Genomic DNA, 16,753 nt, shown 5'->3' on the forward strand with positions numbered 1-16,753 from the left:
TGAGTGAGAAACAAAATTCTATTATTAGAGCCTTTACATTATGGGGTCTGTAAGTAAATACATGGAAACCTCATCGAATACAAGCACGCAGTAAATGTTATCTTTCCCAAAAGACCCCAAGGTTCCCCAAGAAGGAGCCCAGGGGGAATACACACACACACACACACACACAAACACACACACGGGCGGGAATACACACACACACACACACACTCTGAACCAACACACACAGATACAGATTTTGGCTTTTATTCTGGCCATCACACATCTACTTCTAAGACAACACAGACCGGCAGTACCCCATCCCCCATGACCACTGTCACAACCCCAATTTCCTCAGCCCCCTCCTCCCACCCCACCCCTTCTGCCAAGCTCCCCGTATGGGGGCTCTGCCTACACCTCACCCCGGGCATGCAGCATGAAGTGCCCGTGCAGCTCCCCCAGGTTGTCGAAGGAATCCTCACATTCCGTACAGTGGTAGGTTCCCTCCTCCTCCTCTTCCTCCTCCTCCTCCCGCCCAGCTGGTCGGCCCTCCCCAGCCCGAGGTGGTTCCTCCTCTTCCTCCCCGAGGGCCCTGCCTTCAGGGGCTGGTGCTTCCTGGGGGGCTGTAGCAGGGCAGCAGAGCCGGCAGGGTGGGGTTCCCGGTGGGGCCTCCCCAAGGGGTGAGCGGCCACAGAGCTGGCAAGGCTGGGCCGGGGGCTGGGCTGCACGGGGGGCCCGGCGGGATGGGCCACCACGGCCCCCGCCAAGGCGCTGCTTCACCTTGTAGCCAGGATCATATTCAGGATCGTCAGTGGTCTCCTCTTCCTCCTCCTCCTCATCTTCTTCCTCTTCGGAGTCCGGCTCTGAGAGAGTGTATTCTGAATCAGAGGAATGCTCGGGGCCTGGAGGGGGACAGACAGGGGAAGACAGTGGTATCAGAGGAAAGAGGGCTAGGCCAAGCTGTCCCCTCCCTGAATCCCCACATTCAGACTTGCCATAGTATGACAAGGATAGCCTAGACACTACCCTTCCCTTCCCCACAGATGAGTCCCCATGGCACAGAACAAGACTGGCACCCAGTAGATTCCCTGTATCTTTGTGTCAAGCAAATGAATGTCTTCCAAGAACTGCATGGGACAGGACTGGGCACAGTGGCTTATGCCTGTAATCCCAGCACTTTTGGGTGGCCAAGGTGGGAAGATCACTTGAGCCCAGAAGTTTGAGACCAGCCTGGGCAATATAGCAAGACTCCGTCTCTACAAAAAATTAAAAAATTAGCCAGGCCTGGTGATGCATTACCTGTAGTACCAGCTTCTCGGGAGGCTGAGGCGGGAGGATCACTTGAGCCGAGGAGTTCCAGGCTGCATTTGAGCCATGATTGCGCCACTCCCTTCCAGCCTGGGTGACAGAGTGAGACCTCACCACTTAAAAAGAATTTTTTTGGCCGGGCGCGGTAGATTACTCCTGTAATCCTAGCACTTTGGGAGGCCAAGGTGGGCAGATCATGAGGTCAGGAGTTCAAGACAAGCCTGGCCAACATGGTGAAACCTCGTCTCTACTAAAAATACAAAAATTAGCTGGGTGTGGTGGCGGGCGCCTGTAATCCCAGCTACTCGGGAGGCTGAGGCAGGAGAACTGCTTCAACCCAGGAGGCGGAGGTTGCAGTGAGCCGAGATCACACAACTGCACTCCAGCCTGGGTGACAGAGCAAGACTCTGCTGTCTTAGAAAAAAGCAAAAAAAAAAAAAAAAAATTATTTGATTCTTTCGATTGATTGCAAAAGAAAACAAAAACTCCATGGGGAGGTGGGGTGGGAGGCATTTAGGAAGGACAAAGCCGGAGTAGTAAAAACCCACCAGTAACAACAGCATCCTTGCTATTGTAGGAGCCCTGTTCTTATACATTAACTCACTAAATCCTCAACAACCCTTTGAGGGTGGTACTATTACTATCCCCAGTTGATGGATGTGGAAACTGAGGCACAGGGAGGCTAGACGACTCACTCCCCTGTGGTTACACAGCTCTGGCAGGAAAAGCTGAACCTGGGCCATGGCTGACACTGGATCATTTTAGGGAGACAACCATTTGAAAAGGTATTTGTGCAAATTAAAACACATGCATACACACAGATGTACTTTTATATCTGTGGCCATGGAGAGAGAGAGAGAGAGAGTTAGGTGAATTAAAACATTTATTTATAGGTAAGATATATTACTGTGATTTCACAGTTATCAAGGACAGGCCTAGGACAAGTTTAGGTTTAAAGAAAAAGGCCTGTAATCTAGCACTTTGGGAGGCTGAGGTGGGCGGATTGCCTGAACTCAGGAGTTCATGACCCACTCTGGGCAACATGGTGAAACCCCGTCTCTACTAAAAATACAAAATTTAGCCAAGTGTGGGGTGGTGGGTGCCTATAGTCCCAGCTACTCAGGACTCTGAGGCAGGAGAATTGCTCGAACCCGGGAGGCGGAGGTTGCGATGAGCCAATATTGAACCACTGCACTCCAGCCTGGGTGACAGAGCAAGACTCCGTTCCCAAAAAAAAAAAAGAAAAGGGGAAAAATTTATAGTTGATATACGGAAAAGGGCGACATCAGCTGCCATTATGGGGGCGCACACACAGAGTAATGGTTGGGGATGGGGTCCCTGTGACCACGGTGTGGGAAGTACCAGCTTCTTCGGCCTTGGTGGTAGGAGCCTGCCAAAAGCCTCACCTTGTATCCATCCCAGCCCCATTCCTCAGTTTCTCCCAGAACCCAGAGGATCCTGCTACTGCACCCTGTGCTCCGCCCTTGCTCCTGTCATCACAGTGGCCACAGGCTCTTCATACCAGGCTCCTCACCTTCCAACACCCCAGGCCCATACCTGCCTCAGGGTCTTTGCCACCCTTTCTGCCGATGTCACTCTCCATTCCATGTCTCTTCTCAAGTGTCACCTTCTCAGTGACGCCCTGGCCACTCCCCAGCACTCCCTACGCCCCTTACTCTGCTTGATTTTTCTCCATCTTCTTTTGAGATAGAGTCTCGCTCTGTCATCCAGGCTGGAGTGCAGTGGCGTGATCTCAGCTCACTGGAAACTCCGCCTCCTGGGTTCAGGCAATTCTTCTGCCTCAGCCTCTCAAGTAACTGGGATTACAGGGGCGCACCAGCATGCCCAGGTAATTTTTGTATTTTTAGTAGAGACGGGGTTTCACCTTGTTGGCCAGGCTGGTCTCAAACTCCTGACCTCAAGTGATCCACTCATCTCAGCCTCCCAAAGTGCTGGGATTATAGGTATGAGCCACCGCAGCCGGCTCATTTTTCTCCATCTTCTGACTCACTGCATTCAACATTTACTTGTGTGTTTGTTTACTGCCTGTCCCCGAGAGCTGGGACTTTGTCTGGTTCACTGCTGTGGCCCCAGCATCTAAAACACTTCCTTTGTGCAAAGAAAGTACTTATGACATATTTATGGCATGGATATCTCTGCATGGAATTTGACAAACCTTTTCTGAGGCTTCACACACACTGTTCCTCCCTCTGGTGGGAATGTCCTGCCCTAGTTTTTCCCACCATCCTTTAGGACCCAGTGGGAGGCCTTCCTCTTTGGTGAGGCCGTCCCAGACCTCCTCATCCCAGGCAGCCAGTCACTTTTTTTACCACCCTCCTGCTGGGTCCCCAGCATCACCAGCCCAGAACAGGTTATAACTCTTTCCTTCTGAACATCCGTCCCTGCAGCTCTCTCCTACTAGTTCCTGCCATTTAACAATCGTTTCCTGAGGCCTTGGTATGGGCTGTTCCCCACTCTATCCACCTGGTGACCCCCTACTCATCCTTCAAGACCCAGCACAAACTCTGTCCTCTGTGAAGCCACCACCCTGAAGCCCCAGGCTCCCAGCCAGGTCTCTCTCCAGCTTCCCCTGCCCCAGCACCTCCTCCTGTTACTGCCCTAGAAGCTGACTGCAGTCAGCTGCCCCCCAGGGTATCTCCCTTATCTGACTGGGAACTCCTCAAGGGCAGGTATGATCTTGGGGTCCGCAGCAGAGGACGTGTGGGTGAGTGGATGATAGTGGCCCCAAGACCCTGATCTCCCTCCCCAAAGCCTTGGCCTCTGCTCCTCGCCCACCTGGTTGACCCGTTCATTTTTTTTTTTTTCGAGAGAGAGTCTCGCTGTCACCCAGGCTGGCGTGCAATGGCGTGATCTTGGCTCACTGCAACCTCCGCCTCCAAGGTTCAAGCGATCCTCCCACCTCAGCCTCCCAAGTAGCTGGGATTACAAGCGTGTGCTATCACACCTGGCTAATTTTTATATTTTTGGTAGAGATGGGGTTTCACCTTGTTGGTTAGGCTGGTCTTGAACTCCTGACCTCAGGTGATCTGCCTGCCTCAGCCTCCCAAAGTGCTGGGATTACAGGTGTGAGCCACCGCGCCCAGCCTGACCCTTTCTTTCTCTACTGGCAAAACTCCTGCTCCTTTTTAAAGCCAAGCTCATGTCACCTCCTCTGTGAAGTCCTCGCTGACTCCCCAAGCGGTCAGTGTCTCTCTCGTATGGGCTCCCCGGCCCCTGCACTGCTCTCCATCACACCCTGACCACTCTGGGCAGTGGCCCCCCTCCCCACCCACTGACTATGGGCTCCTTGAAGGCAGGGCCTGGGTCTGCCCCATCTCTGTGTCCCCAGCAATGCTGGGCATGAGTCAGCCTCAGAAGACATCTGCTGAATGGCTGCAAACCAGAGGAAATATCTCCAGCCTCAGGCTGGGACCCCTCCCCTCTCTCCTCCCACCTCTGACTTCATACCACTCACCCTCCAGAGTCTTCAATGCCCACTATTACTTCACACAGTTGGCCTGTGACAGGCAATCAGGTCATCGTCCACGGCTACCAGGTGTTTCATGTCTACTGTGACTTCCAGGACCACAAGCCCTTTTGCGCCCACCATGTCTTCACCTAAGAGATCTTCAAAGCCCAGTATGTCTCTGGCACCCAGTGGATCCTCCATGCCCACTGCGGATCCCAAGCCTCCTGCCTCCTTGAAGTCCACCAAATCAGCAACACCCAACAGATCCTTAGTGCCCACCAAACCAGCGACATCCCGTAACTCAGTCATGAGCCCAAGCAGTTCCAAGTCCACCAAATCGACCAGTACAAAAAGAGCCCCTTCTAACCGGCCCAGCAGCAGGTCCCGAGTCCGCAGCAAAGCAAGAACACCCAGCAGGGTGAGCACCGACACCAGGACCAGCAAAGCCAGCAAGGCCAGCGACGTGAGATGCCACCAGCGGAGGGGCACACACAGCCGGGGTAGGACACCTGGCAGAAGGGGAAGCCGCAGCTCCAAGAGGTCACCCAGCAGGGCCAGCACTCCTGGCAGGATAAGAACTCATGGTGCCAGACCAGGCATGGCCAGCAGGGTGAGAACTCCCACTTCACAGCAAAAAGGGAGCCGGGGAAAGAGTTACGGCCGGCCTAGAACCAGCAACAGGGAAAGGAGTGACAGCCAGCCTAGAAATCTGAGCAAGAAGAGTTACCGCCCACCAGGAGGCTCAGGTATAGGGAGGAGTTCCGAGCTGGCTGTAACTCCCAGTACAGCCAAGTGTCAAACCCCGACTGGAATTCCCTCCAAGGAGAAGAGTGACAACCCATCTCCATCCTCATCAAGGAAGGTGAAGAGCTACGGTCAGATGATCATCCCCAGTAGGGAAAAGAGTTACAGCCCCACTGAAATGTCCAGCAGGGTCAAGAGTTATAACCAGGCCAGCACCCGCAGCAGGCCGCAAAGTCACAGCCAATCTAGAAGCCCCAGAAGGTCAAGAAGTGGCAGTCAGAAGAGGACGCACAGCAGAGTGAGAAGTCACAGTTGGAAGAGAAACCATAGCAGGGCAAGAAGTCGCACCCGGAAGGGAATTCTGAGCCAGATGGGAAGACACAGCCAGTCTAGAAGCCACAGCAAGGGGAAAAGTCAAAACCAATCTAGAACCCCCAGAAGAGGAAGAAGTCACAACTGGTCTAGAAACCCCAGCAAGGAAAGAAGTCATAGCCATTCCAGAAGCTCCAGCAAAGAGAGAGATCACAGGGGATCTAGCAGCCCCAGGAAGGAGAGTGGTCGCAGTCAATCAGGAAGCCCCAACAAGCAGAGAGATCACAGCCGATCTAGAAGTCCCAACAAGGCGAGAGATCGCAGCCGATCTAGAAGTCCCTACAAGGCGAGAGATCGCAGCCGATCTAGAAGTCCCAACAAGGCGAGAGATTGCAGCCGATCTAGAAGTCCCTACAAGGCGAGAGATCGCAGCCGATCTAGAAGTCCCAACAAGGCAAGAGATCATAGCCGATCTAGAAGTCCCAACAAGGCGAGAGATCGCAGCCGATCTAGAAGCCCCAGCAAGGAAAGAGATCACAGCCAACTTGGAAGCCCCAGCAAAGAGAGAGATCACAGACGATCTAGAAGCCCCAGCAAGGAGAGACAGTGCAGACAATCTAGAAGCTCCAGCAAAGAGAGAGATCACAGACGATCTAGAAGCCCCAGCAAGGAGAGACAGCGCAGACAATCTAGAAGCCCCAACAAGGAGAGAGATCGCAGCCAATCTAGAAGCCCCAGCGAGGAGAGAGAGCACAGACAATCCAGAAGCCCCAGCAAAGAGAGAGATCGCAGACGATGGAGAAGCCCCAGCAAGGAGAGAGAGCGCAGACAATCTAGAAGCTCCAGCGAGGAGAGAGATCACAGCCGATCTAGAAGCCCCAATAAGCAGAGTGGTTACAGTCGACCTAGAGCCTCCAGCAAGGAGAAAGCTCATAGCCGATCTAGAACCCCCAGCAAAGAAGGAAATCATAGCCAATCTAGAACCTCTAGCAAGGAGAGCGACCCCAGTCAATCTACAGTCCCCAGAAGTCCCGACTGGAAGAGATCCCCTACTAGGACAAGCAGTCTCAGTCAGAATAGAACCCCTAGCAAGACAAGCAGCCACTCCCCATCAACATTTCCCAGTGGGGGCCAAACCCTAAGCCAGGATGACAGTCAAGCCGACGCCACCACCTCTAAGGCCACCTTACCTGGGGAAAGGTCTTCATCATCTTCTTCCAAGCTGGCGTAGCCCCCAGTCTCAGCTGGCTCACGGGTCTCTGTCATGACCGGGGGAGGGGACAGGAGACAGGAGCAGAGCAGCAGCTGAGCAGCGTCCCTCCCCGGCCAGCTCTCCACAGCCACACCTCCGGCCACAAGTTCTCTAATACAGGATGTTGGCAGGTAGAGAGGGATGCTGGATAGGGGGAAAGGAAAGACCTGTGATGATTCAATAAATTTTTACATAGCACCCATCCCCACCAAGCCCAACTGTGTGCTCACTGCTGGCATGGGGCACAGAGGACCCCAGCTCTGTCCCTGACTGTCTACAGGGTCTTGACTGCAAGCCCTGCCCCTCTCTAGGTCTTTTTTTTTTTTGAGACAGAGTCTCTCTCTGTTGCCCAGGCTGGAGTGCAGTGGTGTGATCTCAGCTCACTGCAACCTCCACCTCCCAGGCTCAAGCAATTCTCCTACCTCAGCTTCCCGAGTAGCTGGAACTACAAGTGTGCGTCCTCACGCCCGGCTAATTTTGTATTTTTAGTAGAGATGGGGCTTCACCATGTTGGCCAGGCTGGGCTCGAACTCCTGACCTCAGGTGATCCACATGCCTCAACCTCGCAAAGTGCTGGGATTATAGGCATGAGCCACCGCACCCGTCCCCCTCTCTAGGTCTTAATTTCCGCATGTGGGCAACAAGGCTGCCTTCTGGTTCTTATTCAGTGGGGTAGGGAGAGGTGACACTCCAAATATTCAACAGTGGGGACTGGTGTGGGCACCAATCAGAACTGAGAGTGGAGCGGGACGGATACCAGGCCTTAACCCTTTAGTTGCTGGACCATGGGGAGGTCTGGGGTTGGGGAAGTGTTATGGGGAAAAAAAACCCTCAAACTGTGTTTTTCCTCTACTCTCACACTATCACAACAATCATCAACACAGAATTCTGTGACCAAATGTGTGGGGCTTTTTCCCCACACACTACACAGCAGACAACAGCTAGGTGTCCCCTCCGATTCCATTCCAACGCTGTCCCCACACCCAGCTAATTTTTGTATTTTTGGAAGAGACAGGGTTTCACCATGTTGCCCAGAGCTCAAGCAATCTGCCCACTTCAGCCCTCCAAAGTGCTGGGATTACAGGCGTGAGCCACCACACCCGACTTTTTTAAAAAAATAAAAATAAGGCCGGGCGCAGTGACCCATGCCTGTAATCCCAGCACTTTGGGAGGCCGAGGTGGGCAGATCACCTGAGCTCAGGAGTTTGACACCAGCCTAGGCAACATGGCAAACTTGTCTCTAAAAAAAAAAAAAAAATTACAAAAGTTAGCCGGTGTGGTGGCATGTGCTTATAGTCCCAGCTACCTGAGAGGCTGAGGCAGGAGGATAAATTGAGCCTGGAAGGTCAAGGCTGCAGTGAGCCGTGACCTTGCCACTGCACTCAAGCCTGGATGACCCATCTTACAAAAAAAAAATTTTTGCTGGAGCTGCTCACAGAACTCAAGGAAATGCTTACTTAGATTTACTGGTTTATTATAGAGGATATTGCAAAGAACAAAGATGAAGAGATGTGTAGGGCAAGGTATAAGGGAAGGGGCAGGGAGCTTCACGCCCTCCCTGGGGTGCTACCCTACAGGAACCCTCAGGTGGTTAGCTATGCGGAAGCTCTCCAAACCCAGTCCTCTTGGGTTTTTACGGAGGCTTTAAGACAGCAGCATTGGGCATGGACTTCTCTGAAAAGTGTCTTAAGACCAACAATCAAGAAGGTGGGGAAGATTAGAGTCTTGCCCTGGGGCAGGAAATGGAGGGCAGGAGGAGGTCAGAGAGATTCTGTTTCTTCAGACCTGCCCCAGGCCTAAGGTACACAACATTATAACAAGAGACTGTAACAAAGGCTGTAGGAGTTACCAGCCAGGAACTGTGGATGAAAACCAATATATTTATATATATAATACCACAAGGGGGGTCCAAAGTGGCAGTTAGGGACAGGGAGTACTTGTGTAGCAGTGACACACCAACCCATCTGGAAGTATTTTAATATTTAAACAATTGGTATGGCTATACTAGTTTGTGATTATCAGCCTTAGTTCTGTATCAATTGGCAAGATAGTGTCTAGGTTTGCCACACTCTAGCTGTGTAGCACCAAGCAAAGAACTTAACTTCTCTAGCCTGTTTCCTTCTCTGGAAGAAAGGGGCTTCCAGGCCTTAACTCACGTACTCCCCATAACTAGACTGGGAATTATCTCCTTTGTACAGATGAGGAAACAGACACAGAGGTGATAAGTGAGTAGCCCAAGGTCACCATCTGGTAAGTGGATGAACTAGGATTGGAAGCCAGACCTTTCATAAAATGATTTCTCAGCTCAAAAGGTTTTTCTGAAGATTCAGTAGGCTCACTGATAGAAATTGCTGGTGTGTGGCTGGTATTCCATCAAGAGTGGCCATTACTACTCCCACCCCTGCCCCTCTATAAACTCCAGATGTTCCAGACCTCTCATCTCTCCCTGTGCACACAAGGCCTTTTCACATCTGTGGGTCTTAGTACACCCACTGTTGCTGTCAAGAATGTCCTCCTCCTCCTTTTTTTTTTTTTTTTTGAGATGGAGTCTCACTTTGTTGCCCAGGCTGGAGTACAGTAGCGCGATCTCAGCTCACTGCAACCTCTACCCTGCATCAGCCTCCCTAGTAGCTGGGATTACAGGCAGCCACCACCACCATGCCCGGCTAATTTTTTGGTATTTTTAGTAGAGACAGGGTTTCATTATGTCAGCCAGGCTGGTCTCAAACTCCTGACCTCAGGTGATCCATTTACCTTGGCCTCCCAGAGTGCTGGGATTACAGGCAAGAGCCACCACGCCCAGCCCTCCTTCCCCCTTTTTGGCCTGGAGAACTCCTTTTCACCCTTCAAAGCCCACCACAAACATAAGAACCTCTATACTTCTTGCCCGCTGAAATACTGCCTCTGCCAGGAAGCCTTCTGTGACTTCTCTCTCTCCCTCTTCACCAACGGACCGCCCCCGCCCCCCACCAACCCCACCACACACACACACCACTACTGTCTTCCACTGTACTCCCTGACAGTAGAGAACCAAGCAGGGCCAGTTGATGCAGCCTCAGCTATATCTCTTACATGCCAAGGCCCATGCACTGGGGATACAATGGTGGAAAATACATGGTCCCTTCAAAGTCTGGATGTCAAGTTTAATGCTGGGGACTAAAGAGAAAAGCTTCAGATTGAAACCTGGAGGTGGCTGGGGCAAAGGACCATTGGCATCATTGGCAGGGCAACTTCCTAAAGAAAGCACCTAAATCTTGGCTTTTAAAGACAGATTTCATAATTGGCAGAGGAGAATTCTAATGATACCCTATTGCCTACAGGGCCCCATCTAATTTGGGAATTCTACTTTATACCAAGATAAGATTGCCAGATTTAGCAAATAAAAACAGAAGACATCCAATTAATTTTTTTGTTTGTTTTTGGGTTTTTGTTGCGGAGATGGTGTCTCACTATGTTGCGAAGGCTGCTGTCAAATTCCTGGCTCAAACAATCCTCCTGCCTTGGCCTCCCACTTCCCAAAGTGCTGGGATTACAGGCATGAGCTACCACACCTGGCCCTTATTTATTTATTTATTTAATTTTCTTTTTTGGGACGGAGTGTCACTCTGTCGCCCAGGTTGGAGCGCAGTAGCGCGATCTCGGCTCACTGCAACCTCTGCCTCCTGGGTTCAAGCGATTATCCTGCCCCAGCCTCCCAAGTAGCTGGGACTACAGGCGCGTGCCACCATGCCCGGCTTTTTTTTTTTTTTTTTTTTTTTTTTTGAGACGGAGTCTTGCTCTGTCGCCCAGGCTGGAGTGCAGTGGCACGATCTCGGCTCACTGCAAGCTCCGCCTCCTGGGTTCACGCCATTCTCCTGCCTCAGCCTTCCGAGTAGCTGGGACTACAGGCGCCTGCCACCACGCCCGACTATTTTTTGTATTTTTAGTAGAGATGGGGTTTCACCGTGTTAGCCAGGATGATCTCGATCTCCTGACCTCGTGATCCACCCGCCTCGGCCTCCCAAAGTGCTGGGATTACAGGCGTGAGCCACCGCGCCCAGCCTACTTATTTATATTTTTTAAGAGACAGGGTCTCGCTCAGTTGCCCAGGCTGGAGTGCAGTAGGGTGATCTGTAGGAAAGGGGCTTCCAGGCCTTAACTCATGTACTCCCCCATAACCAGGTTGGGAGGTTAGCTCACTGTAACCTCAAACTCCTGTGCTCAAGGTACCCTACTAGCCCCTAGGAGAGCAGCTGGGACTACAGGTATGCGCCACCATGCCAGGCTTAATTTTTACTTTTTTTTTTTTTTTTTTTTTTTGTAGAGACGGGGGTCTCACTATATTGCCCAGGCTGGTCTTGAACTCCTGGTCTCAAGCGATCCTCCTGCCTTAGCCTCCCAAAGTATTGGTATCACTGCAACTAGCCCAAAGAATTAATATAGCTATGTTCCATGTGATATTTGGGACATACTTTTCTAAAAGGTTGTATCTTTTGGATATAATTGTTTATCTGAAATTCAAATTTAACTAGACATTGTATATTTTATACGGCAACCACACACCTGGGACAATCAAGACATTCCCTGAAGTTACCAGGAGACAATGCCCATCAGCCTACACTTTTCCAAGCCCACGTCACACAAGGCCCCTTCCAGAGTATTCCAGACGTCAGGTAGGGCCATCCCTTGGTTCACAAGTCCCACTCCTACCACGCCTATGGCAGCCAAACTGAAAGGCAAACACAGTGCTGGAGACCCCACAATGCCCTGGGCCTATAGCAGTCAATTCCCAAGATGCCCCGCGTGAACACAATAGGCACCCGTTCCAATGCTCGAGCAAAGAGACCAGGGCAAAACCTTCCACTACGGGACAATAACGGCCAGTTCCCACAATTCGTTGTGGCAGTTCTTCCCAGGATGCCTTAGGCCTATAGCGACCACCTTCCCAGACTCCCCGTGTGGAAGCGCTCCAAGCCTCCAGGACGGTCAGCGGCAGGTGTGGGATAAAAGGAACCGGTCTCGACAAGGATCTGGGACACTCTTTCCCAGGATGCACCAGGCCTACGACTAGCGGACCGACTCCCACAGCGCTTCAAGGCGGAGCGCTCGGTTCTCCCAGGATGCCCCAGGGCGGCACAAACGCGTAGGGGGAGAAAAAGAAGCCCTCGGGTCACCACGGCCCCAGACCGCCGGCTCCCCGGTGACGGGAGTCGTCGCTCCCATCATGCAGCGGGGCCGTAGCGCCCGCTTCCCGGCATGCCTCGCGCACCCCTGCCCGGGACACTCACCGGCGCCGGCGGCCCCCGCTCCGGCTCTGCGGCGGCGGCTGCACGCCCAGCCTCTGCGCCTGCGTCGCAAGTAGGGTAGGACAGCGCGCAGGGGGCGTGAAGAGCCTAGGGCGCTTGCGCGGCGAGACGGACTAGTCCTGTAGCGCTGTGGGAAGAGGGGCTATGCGCGTCGGGCCGTCGACGAGACCCGCGCGGGGGGCGCCGTGCTTTGCCCCTCGCTGCCTGGGTTTACTTGGTACAGCCCGCGGCCCAAAGGAACAAGAAGCTGAAGGGTTCGCGCGTGCGTGTGCGGGGCAGGAACGCGCCTTACAAAACTGGGATGCGCTGGGGGTGGAGGGCGCTAGTTCGGACTGGATCCTGGGCCCGAGGCCTGCTTATTTGCATAATCCTAGCGCGGGACAATGAAAGGCCTCCCGCACTGGAAGGAGTGATTTGCATATTCCCCGGAGGGGCCTTACTCCAGAGCGCAGTGATTAGCATATGGCGGGGGCAACCTGAGCAAAGCGCATGCGCGCAGGGACTGCAGACTGACGCGAAGTGGGTAGCCTTGTCTTCGTAGGGGATCAGTTTGCATCCTGAGAGAGGGCACGAGGGCCAGGACCCCTCCCAACCAGGATAAAGGTTTATTGATCTCCTAGGTGTCAGGCCCCATGCTGGCGGATTCTGTGGTTTCTGCAGTGAACCATACTCCTGTACTCACGGCACCCCAGTCGAAGGAGATACGCACCTAATTAGACAACTACTACCCAGAAGGTCAGACCTGGAGTGAGGAACACAGGGGGCTGTGGGAGCCTAAGAGGCGCTTGCCCCGGCCTCTGGTTCTAGAAAGACTTCCAGGAGGTGGTGATCCTTAAGCCAAGTACGAATAGGAGCCAACTAGAATGGGAATGGGTCTGGCAGAATGAACTGCAAGCGCCAAGGCCCAGAGGCCAAAAAAAAAAAAAAAAAAATAGAAGCGCATGTTTTGATTGAGGAAGCAAGAGCAGCTTAGTATGCCTAGAACCTAACTGGAGACGGGAAATGGTTCTATAGACGATGTTAGAGTTCAACTATGGCTACATTCCAGTCTTCCTGTAAGTGACTTTGTCACATTCTGGCTTAAAACTCCCCCAAAGGGATCCCATTAGGAAAAAAAAAAAATCCAAAAATCTTTATCATGGCCTCAGGGCTATACACCTGGTCTGGCCGTGCTTATCTTTCTGACCCCACCTACTTCCTCCTCCCTCCATTTCTGTCCAGCTCCACCTTACCCCAAACTCTTTACCAGCTCGGGCCTCTGCTCTTGCCGTTCCCTCCGCCTGAAAATGCTTTTCCCTCTGACCTTTGAATACCTACTCTTGTGCTCACCATTCATATCTTGGTACAGATGTCAATCTGAGAGGCTTTTCCTGATCTCTCCATAATAGCACTTACACATTTGACTGGAGTTATGGATAAATCGGGATTGGCCATGAGTTGGTGGTGGTTGTAACTGGCATGAAGAGTACATGGGGCTGGGCGCGGTGGCTCACGCCCGTAATCCCAGCACTTTGGGAGGCCGAGGCTGGTGTATCACCTGAGGTCAGGAGCTTGAGACCAGCCTGGGCAACATGGTGAAACCCTGCCTCTATTAAAACTACAAAAATTAGCCAGGGGTTATGGGGGGTGCCTGTAATCCTTGCTACTTGGGAGGCTGAGGCACGAAGATCACTTGAACCCTGGAGGCAGAGGTTGCATTGAGTCGAGATTGAGCCACTGCACTCCAGCCTGGGCCACCCAGCGAGACTCTGGGTCTCGCCTGTAATCCCAGCACTTTGGGAGGCCGAGGCGGGCGGATCACGTCAGAAGATCGAGACCATCCTGGCCATCCTAGACCATTTCTACTAAAAATACAAAAAAAAAAAAAAAAAAATTAGCCGGGCGTGGTGGCAGGCGCCTGTAGTCCCAGCTACTCGGGAGGCTGAGGCAGGAGAATGGCGTGAACACGGGAGGCGGAGCTTGCAGTGATCCGAGATGGCGCTACTGCACTCCAGCCTGGGCGACAGAGCGAGACTTGGTCTCAAAAAAAAGAGTACATGGGACGTTATTGTCCTGTCTACTCCTGTGGGTTTGAAGTTTTCCATAATGACAATGGCATACCACATCACCATACTCTGCATTTATATTAATAGTTCTTATCACAATCTGAACTTTCTTTGCTTCCTTGTTTTGAGTGTTTTCCTCATGAAAGCTTCATGAGGGTAAGAATGGAGTCGCCCTTTTTCACTTTGGGTTCTCAATGCTTAGAGCAGGATCAGATTTCAGATTAGTGTAGCGCTGTCTTTAACACTTAACATTTGCCTGTTTTATTCACCATGGACTCTAGAACTTTGAGCAGCACCTGGCACATCGTAAGAGGTTATTTTTTAAAGTTAGAATAATACATCTAAAATGTACATGAATGAATGAGAGGCCTGGGATGCCAGACTAAAGAGCTTTGACTTGGTCTAAAGGTGATGGGGAGCTAGGCAAAGGTTTTGAGAGTTTAACTTTAATTCAAAGTTCCCTTGGAGACTAATGTCTGGGGTAGGGGGAAGCCAGGGTAAGGGTCCGGGCCATGGAATGGGGTAGCTCAGTCGCTATCAAAAAGACAAGACTGTGACTATTTGGCTGAAGAAATGGCCAAACCCAGGTTTCTGGGGAGGTCGAGGTACCCTCAGTGAGGTCAGGACCTTCTCCTGGCCTATACTGTCCACCAGCAACCATCACACTCCTCCCTCCCCTCTCCCTTAGTTCCCCTCCCAATGGTACAGCCCTTGACAGCAGGACAGACACACAGCCACCCCAAACACTTGTTCTCTCCTCAGTTTAATGGTGGTTAGTGAGATTGCCAAACCCCCTCCCCATTCCCCTCCCCACCCCGTACAAAATGTGTGTGTGGTTTTTTGTTTTTTGTTTTTTGTTTTTTAACAAGAAAAAGGGGGCAAAAGCCAGGAATGGGGAGAGGGGGGTGCAATCTGATATTTTCATACAGACTTTTGATTTTTTAATATATTATATATAAAACCATGAAGACCACGAATCCTCCCCAAACTCCTTTCCCCCTCCCCGGGGGGCCTGGAGGAGAGATGGGGAAGGCCCCCCCAGGAGTGGGTGGACAGAGAGACAAATATGGATGGGACAGACGTTGGGGGAGAAGGTAGAGAGAAGGGGAGCCCAGGAACCTGGGGAAGGGGGATTGGAGAAAAGGGTTGGGGCTGTCTCCCTCACTGCCCCCATCAAAGTTATGACACAAAGACACAGAATCCCTATTTCCACGCCCTCCCCCCACCCATCCCCCCACCGTGCAAACATGGCTTTGCAAAGAAGTGCCCAGAGCTCTGTGGAACTCTTACAATGGCTGGCATGGGGTCTAGGACCCCCAAAGAAATCTGTGTTCCCCTTCCCTGCCCCCCCCACCCTTCCCAGAAACTGACCCCCTCCCCACAAGACCTGGTTTTGTAGCCTAGGGGCCCTGGCCTTCCCCCAGTTATCTTCCCCCAACCCAATCCCTACTGCCCTCACTGGACTTGGGGGGTCTGGACCTTTGGCCCCTGCCCCCTGGGGGACCCAGACCTCTGGGCCCTCACTTCTGGCCCTTACAGAGATCCAGGCATCCAACACCCCCATCCCTGCCCAAGCGTCTGAGGTGTTAGTGGTGGGGGGAGAAGCCCACCATCCCAGACTCTGGTAAATGTCTTTGCTGGTTCCTTGCAGCTGGCAGTGGGGGGGACCCCAGCCCAGGCCCAGGCCTAGGCCTGGGGTGGGGATAGGGTCAGATGAAGAATTCCTCTTTCCTCTTGTGTCCGTCGCTGCCATTGAGGAAGGCTTCTCTTGCTTCTCCCTGTTCATCCAAGCCACTGGCTTCGTGGGTCAGATAGGAACCTGAGGGGGTGACAGACCCCCGGGGCAGGGGGGACATATTTGTGGATCCAGGAGTTGGACAGAAGTATAAGGGAAGAGGGAGACAGACAAGACACATGCCAGGCGAAGGAAGAGGGAGAAACGGAACACACAGGGAGAGGCAGAGAAAGAGGTAAACAGTGGCAGAGAAAGAGGTAAAAGCAGAATTAGGAAGACTCCAAAAGCTCACCGAAAGTGCCACCCTTATCCTTTCTCTTGGAGGTATTTCCTTGCCCTGCTCCCAGCGAATTCAGCAATTAGGAAAATAAATTGTTTTATTCAAATCCATGCTCTTTTTTTCCCCTAATTTTTTGTATTTTTAGTAGAAAAGGGGCTGCGCCATGGTGCCCAGGCTGGTCTCGACCTCCTAGCTTCTCAAGTGCTTTATCCGCCTTGGCCTCCCAACGTGCTGGGATTACAGGCGTGAGCCACCGCGCCCAACCGCAAATCTATGCTTTTAATTCAGCTTCTAAATTCTACCCCTTTTCGAGTATTGTGCCGAAAGCCCCGCCCCCTTTG

General features: G+C 52.4%; 3 protein-coding genes and 1 long non-coding RNA gene across 7 annotated transcripts in view, besides 4 other annotated features; 2 read left to right on the forward strand and 2 right to left on the reverse strand.

Annotated features, from left to right (window-relative positions):
* Positions 1 to 12,406, reverse strand: ZNF428 (zinc finger protein 428). 2 transcript variants are annotated; one of them, XM_047438168.1, is made up of 4 exons: positions 12,335 to 12,406; positions 11,610 to 11,775; positions 7,006 to 7,211; positions 1 to 884 (listed from the first exon to the last, which is right to left on the reverse strand). In XM_047438168.1, the coding sequence occupies exons 3-4, from the start codon at positions 7,079 to 7,081 to the stop codon at positions 394 to 396; spliced, it is 567 nt and encodes a 188-aa protein (XP_047294124.1). In that variant the 5' UTR covers positions 7,082 to 7,211; positions 11,610 to 11,775; positions 12,335 to 12,406; the 3' UTR covers positions 1 to 393. The 2 variants fall into 2 exon arrangements, with proteins under 2 accessions (XP_047294124.1, NP_872304.2); NM_182498.4 differs by lacking the exon at positions 11,610 to 11,775.
* On the forward strand, positions 4,865 to 7,275 carry SRRM5 (serine/arginine repetitive matrix 5). The gene has a single exon (NM_001145641.2). The coding sequence runs from the start codon at positions 4,899 to 4,901 to the stop codon at positions 7,044 to 7,046; it is 2,148 nt and encodes a 715-aa protein (NP_001139113.1). The 5' UTR covers positions 4,865 to 4,898; the 3' UTR covers positions 7,047 to 7,275.
* Positions 11,765 to 12,415: an enhancer, noted in NCBI's record as "H3K27ac hESC enhancer chr19:44123140-44123790 (GRCh37/hg19 assembly coordinates)". NCBI's record gives its function as "activates a minimal SCP1, AML or CMV promoter by ChIP-STARR-seq in naive H9 embryonic stem cells {active_cell/tissue: H9 hESC(naive)}" and the evidence as "EXISTENCE:reporter gene assay evidence [ECO:0000049][PMID:30033119]".
* Positions 11,765 to 12,459: a biological region, named in NCBI's record as "H3K27ac hESC enhancer GRCh37_chr19:44123140-44123790".
* Positions 11,838 to 16,753, forward strand: part of LOC105372411 (uncharacterized) — a 15,958-nt gene continuing 11,042 nt past the window's right edge. The window contains exon 1 of the long non-coding RNA XR_001753942.2: positions 11,838 to 12,409. This is a non-coding gene — a long non-coding RNA (uncharacterized LOC105372411). The remainder of the gene's footprint in view (positions 12,410 to 16,753) is intronic.
* Positions 12,220 to 12,459: a silencer, noted in NCBI's record as "silent region_10724". NCBI's record gives its function as "represses an Ori minimal core promoter by ATAC-STARR-seq in GM12878 lymphoblastoid cells {active_cell/tissue: GM12878}" and the evidence as "EXISTENCE:reporter gene assay evidence [ECO:0000049][PMID:35858748]".
* CADM4 (cell adhesion molecule 4) overlaps positions 15,145 to 16,753 on the reverse strand; it is a 19,617-nt gene continuing 18,008 nt past the window's right edge. For all 3 annotated transcript variants that reach the window (XM_017026452.1, XM_005258620.3, NM_145296.2), the window contains one exon: positions 15,145 to 16,216. In XM_017026452.1, coding sequence (XP_016881941.1) covers positions 16,107 to 16,216 — 110 coding nt within the window. In that variant the 3' untranslated portion in view covers positions 15,145 to 16,106. The remainder of the gene's footprint in view (positions 16,217 to 16,753) is intronic.
* Positions 16,341 to 16,753: part of an enhancer, noted in NCBI's record as "H3K4me1 hESC enhancer chr19:44127716-44128216 (GRCh37/hg19 assembly coordinates)", that runs on past the window's edge. NCBI's record gives its function as "activates a minimal SCP1, AML or CMV promoter by ChIP-STARR-seq in primed H9 embryonic stem cells {active_cell/tissue: H9 hESC(primed)}" and the evidence as "EXISTENCE:reporter gene assay evidence [ECO:0000049][PMID:30033119]".

This window comes from Homo sapiens, chromosome 19 (assembly GCF_000001405.40).
Source record: "Homo sapiens chromosome 19, GRCh38.p14 Primary Assembly".
In the NCBI taxonomy this organism is placed as follows: Eukaryota; Metazoa; Chordata; class Mammalia; order Primates; family Hominidae; genus Homo; species Homo sapiens.